Genomic DNA, 24,051 nt, shown 5'->3' with positions numbered 1-24,051 from the left:
CCATCCATTCCCTAACCTTCCATGACCCCTCCTTATGCTGAACATGCAATAAATCAACGCCCGCCTTAGCTGATCATTAAAACATAAGGAAGGGAGGTGATATTGACTGAGCACCCATGATCTGCCAGACAAAATACAAAATCTCTTTTAATTCTATGAGGTAGGTATTGCTGACTTCGCTAATGTTTCATTTTCTTATCTGAAAACTGGGTGTCATGGACTGAATTGTATCCCCCTCCTAAAAAATTTATAGGTTGAAGCCCTAACCCCCAATGTGACTGTATTTGTGGAAAGGGCCTATAAGGAGATAATAAAGGTTGAAGGGGTCATAAAGGTTGTGCCCTAATCCAACAGGACTGATAGCCTTACAAGAAGAAGAGACACCAGAGAGCTCTCTCTTTGTGTGCACAGGGAAAAGACCATGGGAGAACACAGAGAGAAGGCATCATCTGAAGCCGAGGAGAGAGGCCTTGCCAGAAACGGACCCTGCTGGCACCTTGGTCTTGGACTTTCAGCCTCCAAAATGGTGAGAAAATAAATTTCAGTTGTGTAAACCACCCAGTCTGCAGCATTTTGTTATGGCAGCCTGAACAGACTAATACACTGGGGATAAGCATTTTGACTACAGTTGCCCATTAAGACAGACATGGAGGCAAATCATGTCACCACCCTTCCCGCTTCCTGATTATCCATCTTTGTGTCAGTAGATATTAACTATGAGGGTCTATAGCATTGACTCTTTTTTCTCTACTTCCTTCTCCTCTTCATGCTCATACAATATCTTGATTATCAAGCATTGTCTTTAAGGTAGGGATAGGAAAGAGTGTTCCAATTTAATTCCAGGTAGCTCCAGCCCAACTCTGATCCTGACAGGTCGACCAAGTAATGCTCTGATAGGAAATGCCTTCCCTGGATTTCTCAGGCAGGCCCTCAATCTTCCCACTCTTTTAGTTGCTGTGTGATATTCTGAAATTGTTCTTTTATAATCCTAATTTTTCTCTGTGCCTCATTTTCCTCATCTGCATATTGAGGAAAATTATGGCCCCTATCTCATAATGTTGTAGTGATAATAAGTTAGTCTAAACAAAGAATTTAGCTCTCTCACTGGTACACAGAATGCACTTTGTAGGTGTTAGCTGCTTTTCTCATTTTCAATGGAACAGAACACTTTATTTCTAAGCAGCTCCAGTGAAATACTTCATTGCCCCAAACAAAGAGCTACAGCAATATCCCTTCCTATTTGGTAATCATCCTAAACTGTCTGTGGGGTTTCACATCTTCTTGTCACAAAACCATCCACCAAAACACTACTATGCATTCACACTGGTAATCTAGCGGGTCACAACTTTGGTATCCTATAAACCCAGCTAGACTCTCCCCAATTCCCTAAGCCCCTCCCTAGCCCCTTCCAGGGAGGCAGTTTCCCTGTAACTCTTGCATTTCTGAGTGTCCTGGGAGCATAGCATTAACTGTGTTTTCACCCTGGACTATCTTTTGAAGGATGTCTGTATAGTAAGCAGCATTGCAAGATAGAGATAGTGACAGCCTCCAGAGTAAAGGGAAGATTTGCCTACTGCCCAGCATAGAAAAGATGATGTCTCTCTCCAGAGAAAAGGGAAGGTTTGCTAGCAGCCCTAAGATTCAGGTTCCCTAAGCCAAGGGTTCCTCAGGTGTGAGGTCAGCCCACTGAATGCACAGCATTCACCTGGGTCCCTCCACATCAACCCCATAAGACATGGAGGGGCAGGTGACCAATATAAACATAATGTTTATGCTGCTTGCTCTGCCATGAGTGAATAATAACATCTTTTGTCTCTGACATAGGAGTCTCATGTCTTCTGCCATCATCCCCAGGGCTGGCAGACAAACTTGTTAACTTGTAAATGGAGTAAAATCTCAGATCCTTCACATTCCTTAACACCCTGTCAAGAACAAACCAGCAAAACAGACACATATATAATCCTTCCAGCTCCACCCTGGCACCCTATATCCCCTGAAGGCTATTAGGAACAACATTGGGATGCAATAGTCCAGGGTGTAAAATGTGATAACTCACTCAGAAAAAACAAAGAAGCCTGGCCAGTATGGCGAAACCCCGTCTTGACTAAAAAAAAAAAAAAACAAAAAAAAAACTAGCTGGGTGTGGTGGCGCATGCCTGTATTCGGCAGGCTGAGGTGGGAGAATCACTGAACTCGGGAGGCAGACATTGCAGTGAGCTGAGATTGCGCCACTGTACTCCAGCCTAGGTGACAGAGTGAGACTCTATCTCAAAAAAAAAAAAAAAAAAAGAAAAAAAAGAAAAAAAAAAAAAAGAACAAGCAAAGAGCTGTTGAGAATTAGGCAGCTTTTTGCTTGTAGGCCCCTTGAAACTACCTCCACTGGTTTTTGAGTGAAGGACATAGGGTTGCAATTTTGTGTAATGTCTTCCACTATTAATACATGGGTACTTCTGTGTTCTTTCAGATTCTTCAGGAGCTTTTCCTTGGTTTTTAAGAAACTTCCCAATTAAGGAGTACCTAAACCAATGTATACCAACAACTAAATTATCCTGGTAAGCAACTCATCATTGCTGATATCAAACACACTCAGCTTTTTAAAGTTTTCTTAACTACTAGCCACTTCTAGCCATTCTAGCATGACTGTATTTTCATTTAATGAATCAAGATGCCTTTAGCTCAGGTAACAAAAACCATGGTTCAAACCGTCTTAAACAAAAGACAAATTTATTCTCTCTCTCTTCTTATCTCTCTCTCTCTCTCACACACACACACACACACACACACAAACACACATACAGTCCCGAATTCAGCTAAGATGGGCTTCAGATGTGCTGTATCAGGACTCTTGCTCTATTTCTCTGCAATTCTTGTGGCTCAGCCCTTGTTCCACTATAAAAAATGGCTACAGAAACTTAAAGCATCATATACAGTTAACTTTATATCCAGAGAAGAAAGAGGATTTTTGTTTCAGGAGAAGAAAACTTTCCCAGCCACATGTAATATACTTCTTAACATCCCACAGTCCAGAATCTAGGCCCTCCCCACCCCATTTTTAAACTAATCACCGGCAAGTGGAACAGGCGGCTTTTGGTTTAGACTCCTCATCATTTTACATGTGATACATTCTAGTTTTAGGAGAAAAAAAAGCATAAAAATTGAAATTGAAGGTTGATTCTAAGAATGCTATGATTTTGTCTGGGGAGTAGTAACATTCTGTACTATTCCTGTTGTTCATACCACAATTATTTCATCCATTCATCCAGCCACCAAACCATCTCTCCATTCATCCAAGAAGTATTTATTGAGTGTCAAGCAGATGCCAGGCATTGTTTTAACTGCTGAGATACACGAGTCAACAAAACAAAGTCCCTGCTCTTATGGAGCATACGTTGTGCTTTGCATCAAGCTATTGGATCCTGTGTCAGTGTTTTTCCAGAGAAGGAGACCCATAGAGGGCTGGGGAGGGTACCTGTTAATTTTAAGGAATTGGCTCACATAGTTGTGAGGTCTGGCAAGTCTGAAATCTGTAGGGCAGTCCAGCAGGCTGGAAACTCAGCAGTAGTTGATGGTGCAGTATTAAGGCAGAATGTCTTCTTATCCAAGAAACCTCACTTTTTGCTTTTAAGGCCTTCAACTGATTAGATGACACTACATTATCAAGGGTGATTTCCTTTACTTAGAGCCGACTGAGTGTAGATGCCATCCACATCTACAAGATACCTTCATAGCAACCCCTAGAGTAGTGTCTGATTAAATAACTGGATACTATAGTCTAGCCAAGTTGACACATCAAACTAAGCATCATCGATGTCTTGCTTATCTTTTCAACTCCACTGCCAGTTTCTGGGGAAAATGATGGTATCCTATACCTGTCTATCTACAACCCCTACAGAGCTTCACGCAGTGCCTTGTGGCTAGTAGATGTCCAAGATCCATGCTATTGCATTACTTAACCTCAGTGTTATGACACATGCTATGTCTGCATGTCTTTGAATGAGAAGGGAAGTTCAAATCAAAGAGGATCACCCAGAGCTGAAGCAAGATCATGAATCATAAAATAAAAGGGACAACCTCCTCATTCACTTGGCCCAATCTGAAGACTCTGCCCTTCTTTCGAGCCACACACCCTATCTTCACTGTGGAGTGCATCCCAGACCATCAACCAATGTCAAGGAATGACATTCCTCTAAAAATGCTACTAAGTACACCATGTGCCTTTTTTAGGAAATGAACTTAAGCCTAGGGCTTAAGAGACTTCATTTTTTCCATCTGACTTGAATCTTTCCTGGGGCCATTTGGTCTGCTTCTTTCCGTAAAGCAGATGTTTCCCAGTGAGATTGCACAGGGAGCCCTGATCCGGAGCCAGCCCTCTGATCTGCATGTGTCTCCACTGACCACCCAAGGGGTGTCAGGCAAACTGTGGCCTCTGTGACTGAAAATCTGGCATTTCCAAGCATTCCATACACCTGATATCTTACCATACCACACCCCCCATCCAATCCTTAAAGGGAAGTATACTTGCAAATGTTCTCTTCGTATGCGGATGCCTGATCCTAAGGTATTTTGTATAAATTGTTTTCTCCATTGTGTAAATGTAACCACATTCTCCAGGCTTGACCTTCTGCATTCAAAATCAAGAAAAGATGAAAGTTAATAAATGAATGGATCACCTACTCTAAGCCAGGCACTGAATGAGGCATGTACACATTGTTAATCGTATAATGAAGTATATGTTGTTATATATATGACACAAATGAGGAAATTGAAGCCAACTGTCATTTGGAACACAGATTGCAGTTCAAAGAAAAAGGCAAAGCTAATTAAGTTTGGCCACAAACCTTGCTCCCCTTTATGACTACACAAACTCACCTGAGATAACTGTTTGCAGTTACCAGTTGAACAGCATATAATGCAGTTTAACTTGAAGTGTTCTAAAATATCCAGACTTTTCCAAAGGAAATAAGGTATTGAGTTTTGTTTTGTTATTTTCTTAAGAGGGAGGTGTGAAGTATGTGCCGAGTGGAAAATGAATATAAACATTTTACATAAAACACTTTTCTGAAAGTATATTAATCTGGATATGGATTTCTTGACATGTTTTTCTTTTTTCTTTTTTTTTTTTCTTTTGAGACAGAGTTTTGCTCTTGTTGCCCAGGCTGGAGTGCAATGGCACGATCTCAGCTCACTGCAACCTCCGCCTCCCAGGTTCAAGCAATTCTCCCGCCTCAGCCTCCTGAGTAGCTGAGATTACAGGTGCCGGCCACCACACCCGGCTAATTTTGTATTTTTAGTAGAGACAGGGTTTCTCCATGTTGAGACTGGTCTTGAACTCCTGACCTCAGGTGATCCACCCGCCTCGGCCTCCCAAAGTGCTGGGATTACAGGCATGAGCCACCATGCCCGGCCTCTTGACATGTTTTTCCAAGCCCATTTTTCTTACAATGAATTGTCAAGCATGACCCCATGGCTCAACACAAAGGTCCTGCAAAATAGGGATTACATTAGTTAACCAGTGAAATACACACCTGTTCCTTACTGTGTTTTCCATTAAGGTTTTTTTCACTTGGTTACTTCATACCACAGAAAAATCCTCTCACTCACAAGTCAGGAAAGGAAATCGATCAGATCCAGAAAAAGTTCTGTTGATGGGAGCTACCCAGAGGTTATCGAGAGTCACAGTGGTTTCCCGGTGAACTCAAGAATCACCCACTTTGGTGCCACAGGCTAACAGCTGACAAGAGCTTCCCTGACCTTTGCTCCCCTTGCCCTCCCAACCAATGAATAAGCCTCTCTTTTCTTTACATTAAAACCTTTCATACTTGAAGGAGGAGAAAAAGTCAATCAACAGGCTCCTCATCAGTGAATCATTGAATAAATGGGTGGATGGATGGATGGATGGATCAATTGATGGATAAAATTCTGAGGTCATGGAGGCTATAAAAAGTCATGGGGTAGTGCAAATAACACCATCAAGAAAGTAAAAAGGCAACTTACAAAATGAAAGAAATTGTTTGCAAATCACGTATCTAATAAAGGACTTGTATTCAAAGTAAACACAGACATCCTAAAACTCAATAATAAAATAATAAACAACCCAATTAAAAATAGGCAAATGATCTGACTAGACCTTTCTCCAAAGAAGACATACAGATGACTAGCAGCACATAAAAAGATACTCAACATCCTTGGCCAGCAAGGAAACCAAAATCAGTACCACTTCACATCCACAAGGATGGCTGTAATCAATTAGACAGAGGGTAAGGTTGGTGAGGATGTAAAAAAAAATTCAAACCATCATATATTGCTAATGGTAATGTAAAACAGTGCAGCCACTTTGGAAAACAGTTTAGCTCTTCCTTAAAAGGTTAAACACAGTTACCACATGACCCAGCAATTTTACTCGTTAATACTTACCCAAGAGAAGTGATCACATACATCCACACAGAAACTTACACATGAATGTTCACAGCAATAATATTTGTAATAGCCAAACATTGAAGCAACCCAAATGTTCATCAATTGGTAAATGGATAAACAACTGTAGCATATACATGTAATGGAATATTATTTGACAATAAAAGGAAATGAAGTATTAATACATGCTACAACACGGATGAACCTCGAAAACATTATGCTAAGTCAAAGCAGCTGGTCATAAAAAGCACACATATTGTAGGATTCCATATATGTGAAATATCCAGAATAAGTCAATCTATAGAGACATAAAGTAAGTTAGTGGTTATCTAGAGCTTGGGGCAGCAGATTTGGAGGGAAAGGGGACTGAATAGGTACAGGTTGTCTATTTCAGGGCAATGAAATTATTCTAAGATTAGTTATGGTGATGGTGCACAACTCTATAAATATACTAAAAAGCACCGAATGGTACACTTTAAACAGGTGATTATATGATATATCAATTATATCTCAATAAAGTTGTTTTTTATAAATGTCATTTATCAGAAATGAAGATAGCCCAAATTTTAAAATACCACGAGATTTCATCCTAATGATCTAAATGGAATTTTTCAGAGAGTAGAATGAATCACACTTCGTTTAACTTTTTTGGTTCTTTTTTTTTTTTTTTTTGAGACAGGGTCTCACTCTGTTGCTATTTTTTAACAGTTTTTCAATGAAAAGTTAGTCACCTTCATTCTCAATACCAAAACCTGCAGAAGAATAATATGGCAGTATCTTATACTAACCAGTTCATCAATGGATTTTATAGTAGTGCATTCATCTTAGCTACCACCATTCCTATTACTTAATATTTTAATCACCTCACATTCCTCTTAAAAATACAAATATTTAAAAGAAAAATGTATTTTCCTATTATAGTTAGAAAACCAGTTTTACTTGCCATAAATAAAAGATGAATGCTAAAATAAGTATAATGAAAACAAATCAATATTTTTTAATCCTAGCAAGACAGCGTTGCTACCAGAAGACTCTGAGACCTGCTATCTTTTTTTATTTAAAGGAAAGACTATATTACAGAGGTATTAAAATCTAGTGCAGCAGAAGGAATGACACTATCAAAGAATGTGAAACAACTAAAAAGGAAATAATCTGTGCAAGTAAATGTTAACACTGTATCTGTGGACCACCCGAAACCACCTGTTGACCGTCTACCTAACAGTCTGAAGAAGGCATTACTGGTTAGAGGGTGTCTTTTCTCTAAGTGGCAACTCCAGAACAAGATGTCTTCCAACTTGTGACTCCACCAGACTCCTCTGTATCTAACTGGAGGAGAAATCATGAAGAAGGCACACACGCTTCTCAAAAATATGACTTAGAATCCACACACATCACATCTGCTCATGTTCCCTTGGTGAGAATTAATCATGTGGTCACTGCTGGATAAAAGGGGAGCCAAGGAATGTGGTCCCTGGCTGGACTGCCATTTCCTAAGAAAGCCCTAATCCATGGAAGGAGAAGCAGGAATTGTACTAGGCAGCTCTCTTGGCCACAACCCAGGCTAACCCAGGGATTCTGGAAAGATAAGTCATTATCTACACCTGAGATGACTCTTGCATTCTGAAAAAGCGAATCTGAGAAAATAGTTGTATTCCATGGGAGACTACTTAAAACTAAATGAAAAAAATAACCACTTAAACCAAGCATGTAATTATAGATTCTTAGATTTGAAAGAGATTATCTATCACACAGAAATATTCCACCTAGAACAAATGCTCAAAGAGGTGGCACCGTGTCACGTCCCTTCTGAGATGCAGTTAGATTGACCTCCGCGGGTTTCATCATCATGTTGGTCTGTCCCTCTCTCCCTCACCACCCGCAGCAAAACCAATTTGTGGTTCCACTGAAGCAGAGAAAAATCAAGAACCACAGGCTGCCTCACTTAGTGGTAAACCGTAAAAGGCCTCAGAAACCATTGCTTCTAAATCAATATAAAAGCATTTCTACACTTCCATTACCCTCAGGAAATTGAACTTGGTGGAGAGCTCTTCCATTTAATGAAATTTACCCCTTTTACAACCAAAACTTGTTTTTTGTAAATTAAGACACTTGGAACACTTTCTAGAATGTGTTATGTACTTCCATACCTTTTAAAACAGCAAACAGTGGACCAGCATGCAGTCTTTTCCTGATGATACAGGGCTTACCAACAACAGTCACATGATACAGGTTCTTTTTGGCCTCAAGCTGAATGACTTGGACTGTTATAGATTTGGAATCCTTGTGGCTTCTCTGATTCTGCCCATGTTAGACTGCCTCATTGCTCCTCACTTCTGGGTCCTGCTTGGTGTGGCTACTTCTTGCCTTATAACACTCCCTATCTGCTGCGGGTTTGAAAACCAAATAGCAAAACTACTGAGGGCATTTGACTCTTACTTTACACACAACTCTAAATAAAAGACGTGCTTCTGAGTCCATCTCAGAATCTTCAGCATATATTATGTGACACTTTGTTTCTTCAGAGTTCCCTTGTACTCAGTTCCCAGTTTTCTTTGCTCCACGTAGGTGAAGCTGTTGGACAACTGAGTTCCAAATGAATTATGTGGTTAGTTACAATACTCTCATCATCTATTAGTTAGGATTTGCATTTGCAGGTGACCCAAGACCAAATCAAACTGGCTTAAGCTCATAGAGTTGAGAAATCCATCACTTCGGGCACAGCCAGGTCCAGGTATTCAAGCAATATTGTCAAAGTGTCATTTCTCAACATCGTGGGCTCTACCATGTTGCCTTTGGTCTAGGCAAAGGTGGTCACTAGCATCGACGGCCTTTTATTCTACCAGCTTAGCAATTACAACAAAAACTGAGTATCTTTTCTTCTGTAGTCAAGCAAAAATCTCGGCACTGATCTTTATTAGCCTAAGTTGGATCACATAACATGAACCAATTACAGTGACGAAATGGGGTTAAAGTTTATGGAAGGTGATTGTTTTGGATTAGTCTTCTTCACTAGGCCCCAGCAGACCAGACGAAACCAGAATGGAGTCACTTGTGCTAACTGCCACGTAAGAAAAACGAACTTTGAAATGGGCTGGTTTTCAACTAAAAAAAAAAACAATTGGAGATTCTAGTCAACCTGAGTCAGTGTAATAAGGAAGTTCGCTCTGCTTTAACCCTACAAGGGAAGTAACTTTGAAACAACCAGTCCTCTTTTTGATACCTGTTTCTGCTTTTCTTCACCCCTTTTCTGTCTGTAAAGCCAACCTCCTCTGCTCAGCTCATCAGAACACTAATTCTATTTTATAAGATGATGTGTTGCCCCCAGTGCTAGAATCACAAATAAAAACCAATTAAGATTTTTAAAGTAAACATGTTGTAATTTTGCCTTTTGACAATGGCCAAGCTTTGACCATGCACTCAACCTTGGAGTTCAAGCCAACCAAAACTACACAGATTGAGAAAAGGTAAAGCTAAGGTTAATTCCTTAAGATGAAATCAAAGTGCCATTAGCAGAGAAAGAGAGACTGATGCTGTGCAGGAAAAAACAACAGATGTCAACTGAAGTTCATCTTAATCTATCTTTGTGGAGGTTTAAATACAAGGCAATTTTTGAATAATCATTCTGCTGTAGAGTCATTCCTGTTAGTAACACTTCTAAAATTTTTCATATGCAGGAAGATAAACTTGGCACGAAAACCATCCGATACACCTCTAACATTAGGCCTTTTTAAGTAGAACATATTTCTGTTTCCTGATTGCAACATGTTTCTATCATCACCCTCAAAATAATTTTCACACTTTTTCTCTCACTTGAAATAAAAATTTCAGTGTGAAATTTCTCTCCCGTCTTCAATGTCATTATGTTAGCAGTTTCTCAGTCTTTGTAAGTCTTTCTGGAACACCATTTTCTCCTCAAACAGGAAGTATGAGAGCCAAAAATAATCTTTCCTTTTAGCCTAGTAGCTCTCCAGTAACTGTTGTTGGAAGCTTTAATAAAAGACAGTATTAGCAGCCAGGTCACTCTAAACTGGTACCACACAGAAGGCACCTTTTAATGTTTTTTTAATGTCAATCTCTCAGACAGATGTCCTTCAGCCTGTGCGGAAACTGTATTTCCACAGGGAGTAGGCGTGGCTCTGCCACTGGCATCAAACAGGGTGCTGCAGGATGTAGCTGACAGGCTCACATGGTGAGAATCAGCCAGGCACCGCCATGCACATGGTGTCCACCACCTTCCTAAATCCTGCAGTGCAGTAGGGGCCAGGGAATGTATCTGTTCTCTATTCAAAGGCCACAAAGCCAAGAACTCCTAAAGTTCTTGCATCAGAATCACCAGTCTCTAACTCAGCTGGGCATTCTGTCTTGACCATACCTGGCAAGGAATCGCAGCATCTTTTGGAAATTCATCTCCCTGTGGTTCACAGTAAGGAGACTGGGGTTTGAAACTTGATCCTGCCACTTACCAGCAGAGGGTGTCATTCCCACTCACCTCCACAGGATCCTACACTCCTTATTGACCACAGCCTCTGCTTTCTTTTAGGGCTCTTCCCCTCCCCCACCAAGCATATGGTCTGGGCAGGGCTCTCCCCAAGCCTAAGCCAATCAGCACACCTGCATCGAACCGGCCACAGGGACTGTTTCTGGGAGAGATCCTGGTATAAAGCAGTCAGGTCTGAGCAAGTCAGAATATTTTGCAAGAGCTACTCGAAAAAGCATGCTATTTCCTGCTGGATTTGAATCTGTAGCTGATGCTGGAGACCAACTTGTCACAGTTTGACTGGGACTTTGTTGGCTTTAAAACTGAAAGTCCCATGTCTGGGGAACCCCCTAACTCCTGGGCAAACTAGAGCAGTTGGTCAGCCCCAGGTGATGTGAGGGCTGGAGTTGCTGCAGCCACATGGTTAGCACTGGAAATCTGACAATGAAACCAGCACAAAGGAAACAGAGCTGATAGGTGGAGAGAAGAAGCCAGTTCCTGGTCACATCTTCAAACTCCTTGTTCTCTTTTTTGCTTAACCCAGGTTAAGCTGGATTTCCTGACACTTGTAACAAAATGTGTGCTCACCAGTAGATCAGTTGTGTGATATTGCACAAGTCTCTTAATCTCGCTGAGCCTCAGTTACTGCCTCTGTAAAACTGGAATAATACTTTCTGAAGATTAAATGAGAACAGTATCAAGTCTCTGCTTCAAGGCCCAGCATGAAGAAACTGCCCAGTAAGTTCTGTTTCCTTCCACTTTATAAGCTAGAGCACTGATAAACTCTAGACAGTGAGGGCTGGAAAGGAAATAGAGATGCACTTGCTCTGATTGCTCATTATATAGATAAGGGAAACTGAGGCACTGTTGAAAAGTGACTTAACTGAAGCTTTTCAGCAAGTGACAAGGTCAGAACTAGAAACAGGCCCGCTGAGTTTGGACTAGTGCTCTTTCTACCACATCATGAACCGAAATCTGGTTTCCTCTTCTGGGAATACCAGTCTGTTGATGCACAGAGGATGAATCTTTCACAAGCCAAGGAGATGCCACTCAAATGTGATGATAGTGGCACATCTGGGGCAGAGCCAGCAGCTTGACCAGAGCAACAAGAGCTCGCCTGCCCGATCTGTGTCACTGGCATCGGTCCAGTGTCCTCATGGTATTCCACCAATACCAACATGGTGTTGGTATCAATAACCAATTTGTCATTGCAAGATTCAGAAGCTAACTTTAGACTTTGCTTTCTTCTCAGGCAAGTAAAATTCATTGGCAAAATGAGGCTCCCAGCTGTATTTATAAATGTCTTTCCCAAAGCAAATGAGACTAGGGGGAGGAAAAAGAAATAAAGAGGAGAGAATGTGAAAATCCTACACCAAGCTGGATTGGGAGTGGGGGTGGGGAAGTCACCTGAGGCAGATGCTCCAGTGCTTAGCTGGTCTGCTATCTCCTTCCCAGTTAGGAAGCATAGCCAGGAGCTTACCAGGGCATGGGGAGGTGGAGCCACCTCTCTGCTCTACTGGTGATTTATTTGCTATGTCCACAGCCTCCTCTGTTACAAACTGGACTGGTTTTACTCTAAGCTGACTTGAGATCATAAAAGGAATATTCTCCTTGACTGCCACATGTTTGGGAGGGAGACTGGGACTGAGTGGCCAAATGATTCCCCCAGAACTACTGGGCGTGAGGCCAGCTGCTTCAAAAACTCTTGGAGGAATGTACAGTACTGAAATGAAAAAAAATGTTCCTCTCTGTAGACTAGTGCTGTGGTCACTGTGTGTCCAGAGCCAGAGCGGGTGCTTATGCCGGTGATGCACCTAAATGTGCCTAGAAGGCTCTCGAGGGCATTTCACAAGACGATGTGTCTGGAACATTACACATGTAGATAAATGTAAGTTTCGTGTGTTTAAGCTTTCATTTCACCACATTTCTCAACCCTACAAGATCTGAACCAATTGAGAGGTAGAAAGAAGAATAAGATCATAGTCCAAGTTTTGGCTTTATCATTGATAAAGCAGGATTTGATGTCATAGCTTAAGCCCAAAGGCAAAAGAAAGTCCCTTCTCCTCATCCTCCACCTAGCTAAGCCTCCTGACCCAGGGAGGGGCGGGACAGCTGGGGACTTGGCTGCCCTTGCTCTCACCCTGTAAGGCACAGATCTGCCTTGGTGAACTTTCTGTAAGGAGAAGGGATAAGAGGAGGCAAGTGGGCAGGTGGCTCTGAAGGAAAGAATCCAAAGGTCTGAGCATGATGGATGGCATGATCGCCTTTTCCCATCCCAGCAGCCAGATAAACCATGCCTTATCCCAGGGAAGGAAGAAGAGAGTCACGGGAGAAGTGCACAAGGAGTTTGCCCACTGCTTTGTCAAGCTCTTGAATGGCATTGTCCTTGGAGTTCAAAAAGCTGAACCACCTTACAGGTAAAACTGCCTCCTCATCAGTGTCCTAGTTTCTTCTGAAGATAAGCTCCCTAAAAAGGGCTCTCTAATGAAACCCCCTTATTCCAAAGTCCAAATGAAAGCAAAGGGTTTTACAGCAAACCTCTCATACCATTTCATATGCCTCTGCCACATTCTTTAATTTTTGTGAGTTCAAAATAAACAAACAAAAAACTTAATTTGAAAAACTTAAAGATTAGCAGCCTTGTTTCAAACTACCCAATGGCCAGCCCAACCCAGACACCAAGAATCACAGGAGAGGCCGATGAACTCAGTCATTGAGACCCCTGTTGGGCCTAGTTCAGGCACAGACTCAGGGAAACTATGGGGCTTAATTAAGCTTCGGAGCCCCTCACCCACTCATGCAGGGAGGATCTAGCAATGTATTCACATGGTGGTAGATTGTTGTAACATTTGCAGAGGTAAGCTAATTTAACCCCAATGTGTTAATACCATTGATTATTTCCTCTCCACTCCAATGTTTCCTCTGTCACACTTCCCTTCACATTGGATAGCACTGGAGTAGCCAAAGAAATTTTGGGATTTGGCTAAGGAAAAATAGATTTAGTAATACACTGGTTTCGGTTTAGCAATAATATATGCATGTACTTTATAGTCACTTTTGTATGTAGTTGTTATTGTTAACTGCTGTAGAGTAGAAATAACTTTCAGAAGTATTTTTAAGTTCTTTTTAATTGGAATTTTTATTGAGATAATAGTAGTTGTAAGAAATATACAGAGATTCCTTGTGCACTTTTCCAGCTTCCCTAGTGATAACATGTTGCAAAACAATCGCTCAATATCACAACCAGATATTAATTTTGACCAAATTCATTTACATTGAGATTTTCCAGTTTTACTTTGTGTGTGTGTGTGTGTGTGCGTGTGTGTTGAGTGCCATCAATTTTTGTCACCCGTGTAGAGAGGTGTACCTATTACCACAGCCAACTTGCTGCACAATCTAACACCACGCCACCCTCTAGAACAACACCGGATTCCCTCCCCCTAGCTTCCCCTCTCCTTAACCCCAGGCAACCATTAATATGCTCTTCATCTCTAAAATTTTGTCACTTCAAAAATGTTATATAAATGAAACCATACAGTATGTAATCTTTGGGTATTGGCTTTTTTTCAGCATAATTCCCATGACATTCACTCAAGTTGTGCGTATCAATAGTTTATTCTTTTTCATAGCTGAGTAGAGTTCCATGGTGTGGATGTAGCACCGTTTATTTAGTCATAGACCTATTGAGGGGCATCTGAGCTCGTTCCAGCTGCTACAAACATTCACGTGCTGGCTTTTGTGTGAACACATGTTTTCATTTCTCTGGGATAAATATAAAAGGCTGCAATTGTTGGGTTGTACGGTAGCCACATGTTCTGGTTTTTTTCAGAAAAGAAAAAACAACCTGCCAAGCTGTTTTCCAGAGTGTCTGTACCCTTTGGCATTCCCACCAGCAATGTGTGAGTGTGCCAGTTCCTCTGCATCCTCACCATCATTTTTGGTGTTGTCACTATTCTTTATTTCAGCCATTCTTATAGACATATAGCGATATGTCATTGCAGTGTTAATTTGTATTTCCCTAATAGCCAATTATGTTGAATATCTTTCTAAGTGCTTATTTGCCATCTGTCTATTTTCTTCAGTGAGATGTCTATTATGTTTCTTGTTGATTTTTAAATTAAAGTTTTTTACTGTTGAGTTTTGAGAGTTACTTCTATGTTCTTGATGCCAATCCCTTATCAGATGCATGCTTTGCAAGTATATTCTCTGTCTATGTCTTTTCATCCTCTTCACATGGAATTTACAGGGCAAAGGTTTTAATTTTGAGAAGTTGAGAATTTATCAGCTTTTCTTTCTGTAGAACATGCTTTTAGTGCCAAAACCAGGGTGGCTGTACCCTTCGACATTTACAGGGGTAATCTGAATCCCCACCAACCAGCATGATATGAATGTACAAGGCAAGAGGTCATAGGGCAACATGAACATGTCTCAAGCCACCCGCACTGGAGGTAAGTGCGTATCCAGAATAAGGAGTTTTGAAATGTATGGTCTCAGAAGCTAGTCTTTAGAAAATTCTTATAACAATCAGCCGTGCAAAATTGTGAATACAAGATGTAGTTTTCATAAGGTATAGTAAAATTAGTAAATATGATTTAAAATAAAAATAAAAATTGGTGAACCATAAAAGAAGACAGACTGAATTCTCTTTCTATTATTTTTATGGATCATATTATAAAAGTATTACTATGTAAAGAGATCAAAGAAAATATAACCCAAAAAAGTATATACAAAGAAAAGTTTTATGGCCTTATAAAGAGCGATTAAGTAGTAAAAGAGATTGTTATGTGTCTTAGTCTTGGTGATGTTTGGGTTATTGTCAGGTGTTTAAAATTTATAATTTGTTATGATTTCTTATTCTACTTCTATGTTCAAGTTTGTACCAACTATTATTTTCTTCTTAATAAAGTTGGGTCCCCAAATTAAATAAACTTCAGGCACCACCCTGGCCAGGTGTTACTTTTTTAGTTGCCCAGATCATGAGGTTTCCTGTTGTGTGTGTCCCAAAGGAGGGGCCCCAGTGACCAGACCATGGAGAGAGGGGGCGAGGTGGTCCAGGGACATCCAGCAGGCTCAGAAGAGCCGCTGTAGCTATTTACCACCAAGTGTGGAAGTATTTCAAGGATGTAACTGGTATGCCCCTGCTGATGAGGTCTTGCTAAATATAAGCCCTGCCCCTTGTGTTTATGTAAATGCCTTGTTGGGGTAGCAGAATCCAGGCAAGAAACCAAAAGCTTTCCATGACAGGCAATTCTTGAGAAAAATAATAAACTTGCCCCTGAAGTGTTCATCAGAACCTTACAGGAAAAAGACAAATACTATACTTGAACGTCAGTGGCCTAGAATAGATAACAATAGGAACATCATAAATCACTAACAGACATTAAACCAAAAGGTTCCAGCTACTATTTCATTTTTCCCAAGACTCCTGTGTCAGGCATGCTACAAACTAGAGATGAATTCCTGACCCTCCGGGCTCTCTCTGAGGGCTGTCTGTGTCCCACCACTCTAAGCCCCTGGATAGGCTGCAGAAAGGACCAAAGGTGAAACAAATCAATTCAACTACAATAAACAATTGCCGTCAGGCTTTGGGGTGGGGGCTTTCTCCATTTAGTTCACTTAAGCCACTGTGTATACAAGTTCCTCAGGACAGCCATAGCTTTCACTTCTTTCTAGAAATGAGAGCTAAAAATGACCCACAAGCCAGACACGGTGGCTCACACCTATAATCCCAGCACTTTGGGAGGCTGAGATGGGCGGATCACCTGAGGTCAGGAGTTCGAGACCAACCTGGCCAGCGTGGTGAAGCCCTGTCTCTACTAAAAATAAAAAATTAGCCAGGCGTGATGGTATGTGCCTGTAACCCTAGCTATCTGGGAGACTGAGGCAGGAGAATCACTTGAACCCGGGAGGCAGAGGTTGCAGTGAGCCGAGATTGTGCCATTGCACTCCAGCCTGGGTGACAGAGTGAGACTGCCTCAAAAAAATAAATAAATGAAAATAAAATAAATAAACAGCCCACAGAATTCAAGACTTTCATAGAGCAGTTTGACAACCACCAATCGAAAGAAAATTACATTTAGCTAAAAGGCAAACATTACCAATGAATGACACTGAGAAAACTGGGTAACACAGTTTAACTTCTTGCCTCAGTGTCCCCATCACCTAACCATGATGCTGTTTGAATTACACTGCAGCCATACCCTCCATCTTCTTTGAAGTTCTTCGGATGCAAAGTCAAGATGGAATCCCAGTTCTGCCAAGCACTTGTCATGTGGCATTGGACAAGCCCTCTCCCCATGTATAGCCAGGCTTGGTGGTTAGTGATCTCTCCCTTGAAATGTGAGTCTATTATGGCTTGAAGGAGAATATGTTCATAATGCCTAAGCAGAAACCCTCAAGCCTAGCAAATTCTTAATAAAAGTAACTACTACTATTATAAACCGCATCTTGTACATTTTTAACCACCAATAAAAAGGAAATGATACTCACACTGAGATCCTGACACTTATGGTCTGTAAAGTAACAGTTCTTTCTACTAGATATTTACTATTGTAGGACAAGACTATTATTGGAACTAGTATGAATGCTCAAATTTTCATTTCCCATTTGCTATTTATTGTCAAAATTTTCTCTGTGCTAGAGAAAAGAAAGTCTCACTGCATTCTACCCATGTAGAACAATTTCAGAGAACAATTAAGTAGATTTAAAAGGAAATAAATTAGTTTATAGAGCTCTCAAAAATGCAATGATATATTCGCAAATACATAAACACTTTGTTAAAACATGAGCTTAATAAGGTTATGGTGCCCTTTACAGTATTTAAGAAAAAAAAAAAGTCTTTGTAAGCAAATTAGCAATATAAACAAGATTTGAAAGGAAAAGTTTTCACTTCAAAATACTTCTAAGATTTTTAAAGCAATAGCATAATCTAAGTGCTAATCATGCTGTTATTTATCTTTTTATGAAAGCAAGCCCAGAAAATGTTGTGTTTGTAAATTTTTAGCTAGTTTAGTATCAGAACCTGAGTGGGAAAGCTGGCATTGGGGAAGTGGTTGTGGTAAAGGGGAACAGAGCTTTGTAATGTAAGACACAGATACAAAGCTAGATTCACATCCCACTAGCCTTTCATGTTCTTGGACCCTCTGTTTCTCATTTGTAAATTTGTTTGTTTATTTTGAATTTCTTTAACTTGTTGCTTCAGTGTGCCCATTACCTAACCATGATCCTCTTTGAATTACTCTGAGGTCATACTCTCCACCTTCTTTGAAGCTCTTTAGATGCAAAGTCAAAATGGAATCCCAGTTCTGCCAGGCACTTGTCATATGACCTTGGGCAAGCCCCTGTCCGCGTGTGTAGACACATGTGTAACCTGCTCCCAGGCTAGTCTCAAACTTCTGGCCTTAAGCAGTCGTCCAGCTTTGGCCTCCCAAAATGCTGGGATTACTGGCGTGAGCCATTGCACCCGGCCTCATTTGTAAAACTGAGATAACACTTCATATCAGAGTTGTTATAAGAAATTAAGGTATGTCAAGTACCCCAGCATCTCCTTGTTTACATCATAATTGTTTTAAACACATTTCTCATTCATATTTTATTCAACCAGATTTTTTATACTAATAAAAATTCTTATTTTATATAGTTACATAGGTCAGATCTTGATGACCTAGACAATGTTTTTTCTGTTAAAACCTTGGGAAAGCATAAATTTATTTGAAAAATTATTCTATTGAGCTATTTTGGGCCACAGTTAGCTACTTTAATTTCTCTCTTGAAAAAAAGAAATGTTTCCAATTTGGTCTAAAAAATAGCTCCCCTGATAACTGTAAACATTGTAGCCCAACCTATATTTTTTATGGAAGCAAAATTTCTGCCAATATCTCTGACGGTCTTGCCTACAAAAAGTCTGAAAATTTCAGACTGATTTGCTTTGCAATATTTATTTTTTTCCATTCCATTATACAAATCCAGTAGGTTTGAGGGAAGGTAATCAAATATAAAAATTAATCATCATAAAAATTTACATTTAAAAACATTTTGTTAGGCAATTTCAAGGACTTTGCATATCCTGAACACTTTGAGCCTGTACCGATGGCATACTGAAAACATCTGAGGCATCCCTGCAGCTGCCAGTATCAAATCCTCACACAATGATAAGACAATGGAATTTTTAAATACACCAAATGGTTTTCCTGGCCAAGCCTTGCTTCTGAGTCATGTGAAAATGTGTTTAATGCTATTGACCAAGGTGGTTTTGGTTTTTCTTCAAGGGAAACTCTCAAGGGACTGGATGGGAACCGAATTTTGACAATTTGCCCGGCAGGATTTTTAGAGTGTGGTGTCCCCAGCAGGCAAACTGGCACTCGGCAGCCTCGTTAGCATAACTCTGATCTGTGTGTCCCACGAGGCCATCCTTCCAGTCAAGGGTGGAGCCAAAGAAGTCAGCAGAAGCAAGTCAAAGCCAGATGGAAAATCACAGACTCCACGACACATATGTCCATTTTCTCAGGAATCCAAAAGGTGCTGGGGCACTAATGTACTACCTTTCTCACCTCTCCTGACATGGGCAACAGGGTCTGTTCTAAGAGGTGGGAACACGGGGTCACCTTGGATCAGTCCCTCTTTGTTCCAGGAAGTTCACCCGAAATGGTCCTTTATAAATAAATTTTGAATCAAGTGCCTTTCGGCTGTTCTGGTGGAAAAGTTCAAGAGTGTTGTTGGGCTTTGCAGTGACCTTGGACTCAAATCTTACTGGCAATAAAAATGGCTGTGTTTCTCCCAATTAACTAGTTTGAACCTATAAGTTTATTTGGGGTGTCAGGAACATGCTATGAGGTAAGCAAGCAGTCCCCAGATACCTCCCTTTTAGGTTTAAAGTTTTAGATTCAGTCTATTTAGATTGTGGTCAATAGCAAGAAAAGAAAACAACCAAATTAAAAAAAAAAAACTGCCCCAAAGTAGGAAGGTGGAGTCTGGATGGGTGGCCTGCGCTCCACACAAGAGCCCAGTACTGGGAATGTCTCATGACTGATGATGTTATGGGACCCTTCCTAAACTCGTCACCATGGCAACCTGATCATGTCCTCAAGGCAGGGTCAGCTTAAAATGTTCAGAGGCCCTTAATCCTGAGAAGAGTACGTTTCCCATCCAGTCGCCATCCCTGCCCAAAATGTCATTCAAAATAATATTTATACTAAACCATAAAATAAGGGTAAGAAAGTCCAAGAGTAAGAATTAGCTTTTCCCATGATGCCTATTTGGATGCTCCTTTTGCAATATTACATCTTTCAGACCGGCTTCTTACCATAATTTTAGTGCCCCATTTGAGTCTGGATTTGGAATTATCCATCCCTTCCTTAAGGGAATGGCCCAGTGTTTGTGAACTCAAAGGTCTGCAGCCTTGGGACCCCGGACCTATTTTTGCCTGAAGAAACTGGAGCTGAAGGGGCACTCAGTGAGCAGGAGCCCTCCCACTCACGGTGTGTTTAGTAACCAAAGTGCTTCCTGGCTCCCTCAGGCTTGTTCTGGGTCACCACATATCCTGATTTCAGCAACACCATGGAGTCAGAGAAGGCAGTTAGCAGGCTGTGGCAATATTCCAGGCAAGAGAAAATGTAGGCTAAAACTAGAGCAGTGGGAATGAAAAGAAGGCATTGGACAGAGAAATATTGTGAACGAAAAATCAAGAGAAGTTTGTGGTGGAGTCGGGGTTGCAAGTGGTGGGAGGAAGTAAGAGTAGGGAGAGAGGGGCTTTCTCACTTGGGTGCAGGGATGATGGCAATGTTACCAACCAAGATAGAAGTTATAAGAGGAGACGGCATCGACAGTTAAGGGGAAAGAGTGGTGATTAGGGTTTATGGCAGGCTAAACTCGCTGGCTGTCTCCCTATACAGAGCTGGCTACCCAGGTGGGAGGGAACCCAGATGGGGATCTAGAGCTTATGAGGAGGACAGGGAGTCACCAGGTAGTTGGAGACAAGAAGTCTACAAGAACACCTTGGAAGACAGGGAGTCACCAGATAGCTGAAGACGAGGAGTCTATGAGAACACCTTTTGCATAAAAACCATCCAATGTAGTGAGAACACTAACTGAAGAGTGACTCTGAGGAATAAGGAGGAGAAGAGATCAGAGTGCAATTGGAGAGCTGTACTCGGTACTCGGGAACTAACCTGAGAAAACAAGGAGAAATTCTTTCTCTGAGAAGGAAAGGGAAGCAGAAAATACTGACCAAGACAGATACCTTTGAAGTGAAGTTCAAGTTCATGTAATGTAGCCTTGACCTTCTCAGAAATTAAGAAATGATGTTGTTCCTGAGGATGATAGCGCAGCTAAAGGTAAATGAGAGGCTCAAAAAGAACAAAGAAATTAAGTGGTGGTTCAAGGTAGAAAGGGGGAGCAAAGAAACTAGGGTGCTGAGAAGATGAGGCCCATCCACTTGCAAAGAGTCCCCAGGGGGAAAAAAAAAGGCAAAGATCAATGAAAAAATGGAGTGGAAAAATAAATTGTATAACCCTGGGCTTACTTTTCAATATCTTGAGTAAAGAACAGAAAAGTAAATCTCAGATAACTATAGGCAATCTAAAATGTTAACATTATTCTAAGGAATGGGTCTCTGCCAGATTTTAGCCTTTCAAAAATCACAAATATATGGTGACCTAGACATTTCACCTGGGAGAAAAAACAAGGGCCTCAAATTAAACATGGACAAGAAAATCATTAGGTATTGAAAAGTTCTGCTTAAATAAGATCAACTTTCATAAACCATATGAGAAAACTGATCTCATATATAACCTTCCATAAATATTGTGATGGCTAATATTATATTATATATTTTAATTTTATGTAGTTTATGTATTTTGATGCATTTTATTTTATGCATTTTTATTTTTAAAGCATTTTATTTTATTAATTTCATGTATCAACCTGACTGTCCTACAGGGTAACCAGATATCTGCAAGGGTGTTTCTGGATGAGATTAACCCTTGACCTTTGACTTGGCAGACTGAGTAAAGCATTTACCCTCTCTAATGTGAATGGGTCTCATTCAATCAGTTGAAGGCCTGAACAAACAAAAAGACAGAACTCCTTTTGCCCAGCTGCCTCCCAGCTGGGACATCAGGTTTCTCCTGCCTTCAAACTCAAACTGAAACATCTGCTCTTCCTGGGTCTTGGTCCTCTCAGCCTTCAAACTGGAACTGCACCATTGGCTCTCCTGGCTAGGCCTTTGAACTTGGACTGGAACTAGCTACACCACTGGCCGATTGTAGGTCTTGGGATTTGTCAGCCTCCATAGCCACTCAGATCAATGCCTTACTATAAATATTTTTCTGTGTATCTACACTTCCTTTTGGTTCCATTTTTCTGGAGAACCCTGACTCATACATCTATAATAAACCACTAGTTTAGTATTTCTAAAGAATAATTTGATCTTCAGACGGTAATGATGCCTTTAAGTTAGCTGTGTATTTTTTTCTTCCAAAAAAATTTAGTCATAAAAATGGGAGCTAGAAAAAATTAATCATGAACCTATGGTTCATTTTGTGCTTCATGTTGCTTCAAACTTCGCCTCTGGCTCTGGCTGTTCCTACCGATCCCCAGGCAGCACGAACACCTGGTCTAATGGGTGCTGCTCTTATCAGCTTTCTTACCTGTAATGAGATGGCAAGAGTCCCAAGAACATGCAGTTCAGCAAAATGAATTGGATCTGCCAGAAGGATGTGTGAGGCCAGGAAGTAAGTTTCATCACTCTGACTTAGCAGAACAAATCATTTTGTCAATTAATGACGTCTCTCCTTTCTAAGCCAGACACACTTTAAAATACTGGCAGTTTTCCCCTCAAGGCAATATTTTCCATTTTATGACACAAAATTATTGCGAGTACAGTTCTTTCTTATTTCTAACTTAGGGTACCTGGCTAGGGATTTCATTTCTCTGGGCCTCTTTCTCCATTAACAAAGTATGAAGACATTAGGGCAGGTGATCTGAGCAGTCTCCTCTCGTGCCAGTGTCCTTGTATTGAAAGTTAATGTCCAAAGGGTGTCTCTTTCATAGCAGTTTCATTATCCACTTAAGGTCTGCATTCCTTTTTGTACATAACCAAAATGTCAGGTGATCCTTTCATGGATCCTGAGATCTATATATAATTGGATAAAATCCCAATTCCACTGCCTGTGCAAGTCCGAAGCCATCTTTCGTGATATCTGCACATTCCTGGGGGAGTTTTTGACGTCAGAACTTTCTGGCACCAACCTTGCCTGGATGGACCATCTTGACATTTATATCTGCCCCCTATGGACCTGGAAGTGAAATGTAATCCTTTCCTCCATTTCCCTAATTTCTATAGGAAATAAAGGGCAAGGGGGCTGACTTTATTATAGATTTGAAAGGGGTGCAGAAATATAAACAATTCATTTGAAAAGTTGGCACCTCCATTCTCAACCTATTTAAACACTAGGCTACCTGCCTTCCAGTGCTCCCCTGGCCAATTCACCCCTGTAGTGCCCACCCTCACTCTGAGAATAGAATAATTCTTATTTTCTTGTTCTGAGCATTTTCACTGTCTTATATTATCTCGACTCTCTTTTACTGACCTCAAGCTCTTTCTTCCTTGCTATCCCAAAGGTCTTAGTAGAGGGTTGTTATAAACCAAGAGAGTTCTCTCCCTAAGAAGAATTCAGTGCCAGATACAAAGAGAATATATTTTTCAACCCAGTCTCCAACACACACATCCGTAATGGCAATCATGCTGCTATGTTAAGACCTACCATATCTCTGTATCTCTCACACACATTCCAGGAAACTCTCACAGTCTGGTTCATAAAATGACCCTGGCCAGATGCTTAGCAACCGAGACATAAGGGTCTTGAAAGTCCTAACAAGCCAGAAAAGGGTTGATGTTCCCCTCCATGGAAACTAGCAGTGGACTTCGACAGCACAAACCTGTGGACTGATAAGCCACCACTCACTCATGAGCTAGGAGACCTTGTGGTTCAATGTTGTAGAGTGTTAACAAATTAAAAACCACATTTACAACCATTCAGATATTTCCAGCAATTAAAGTTGTATTCAAACAACAACTTTATGATTTTTTTTTAATTTTTGAAGCCAGTAACTATTATGTGGGGGCATATAGGGGTTGCACAGAGTAGCATCTCCCCTCAACC

General features: G+C 40.8%; 2 long non-coding RNA genes across 2 annotated transcripts in view; one reads left to right on the top strand and one right to left on the bottom strand.

The window, feature by feature from the left end:
* Positions 1-24,051, bottom strand: part of LOC124907986 (uncharacterized) — a 61,427-nt gene that overhangs the window by 9,215 nt on the left and 28,161 nt on the right. The window lies entirely within an intron of this gene.
* On the top strand, positions 437-7,503 carry LOC105373905 (uncharacterized). The gene is made up of 3 exons (XR_923950.4): positions 437-526; positions 2,465-2,552; positions 7,422-7,503. It is a non-coding gene; the product is annotated as an uncharacterized LOC105373905 (long non-coding RNA).

Source organism: Homo sapiens, chromosome 2, assembly GCF_000001405.40.
Source record: "Homo sapiens chromosome 2, GRCh38.p14 Primary Assembly".
In the NCBI taxonomy this organism is placed as follows: domain Eukaryota; kingdom Metazoa; phylum Chordata; class Mammalia; order Primates; family Hominidae; genus Homo; species Homo sapiens.
This window is presented reverse-complemented; position numbering and strand designations above follow the sequence as displayed.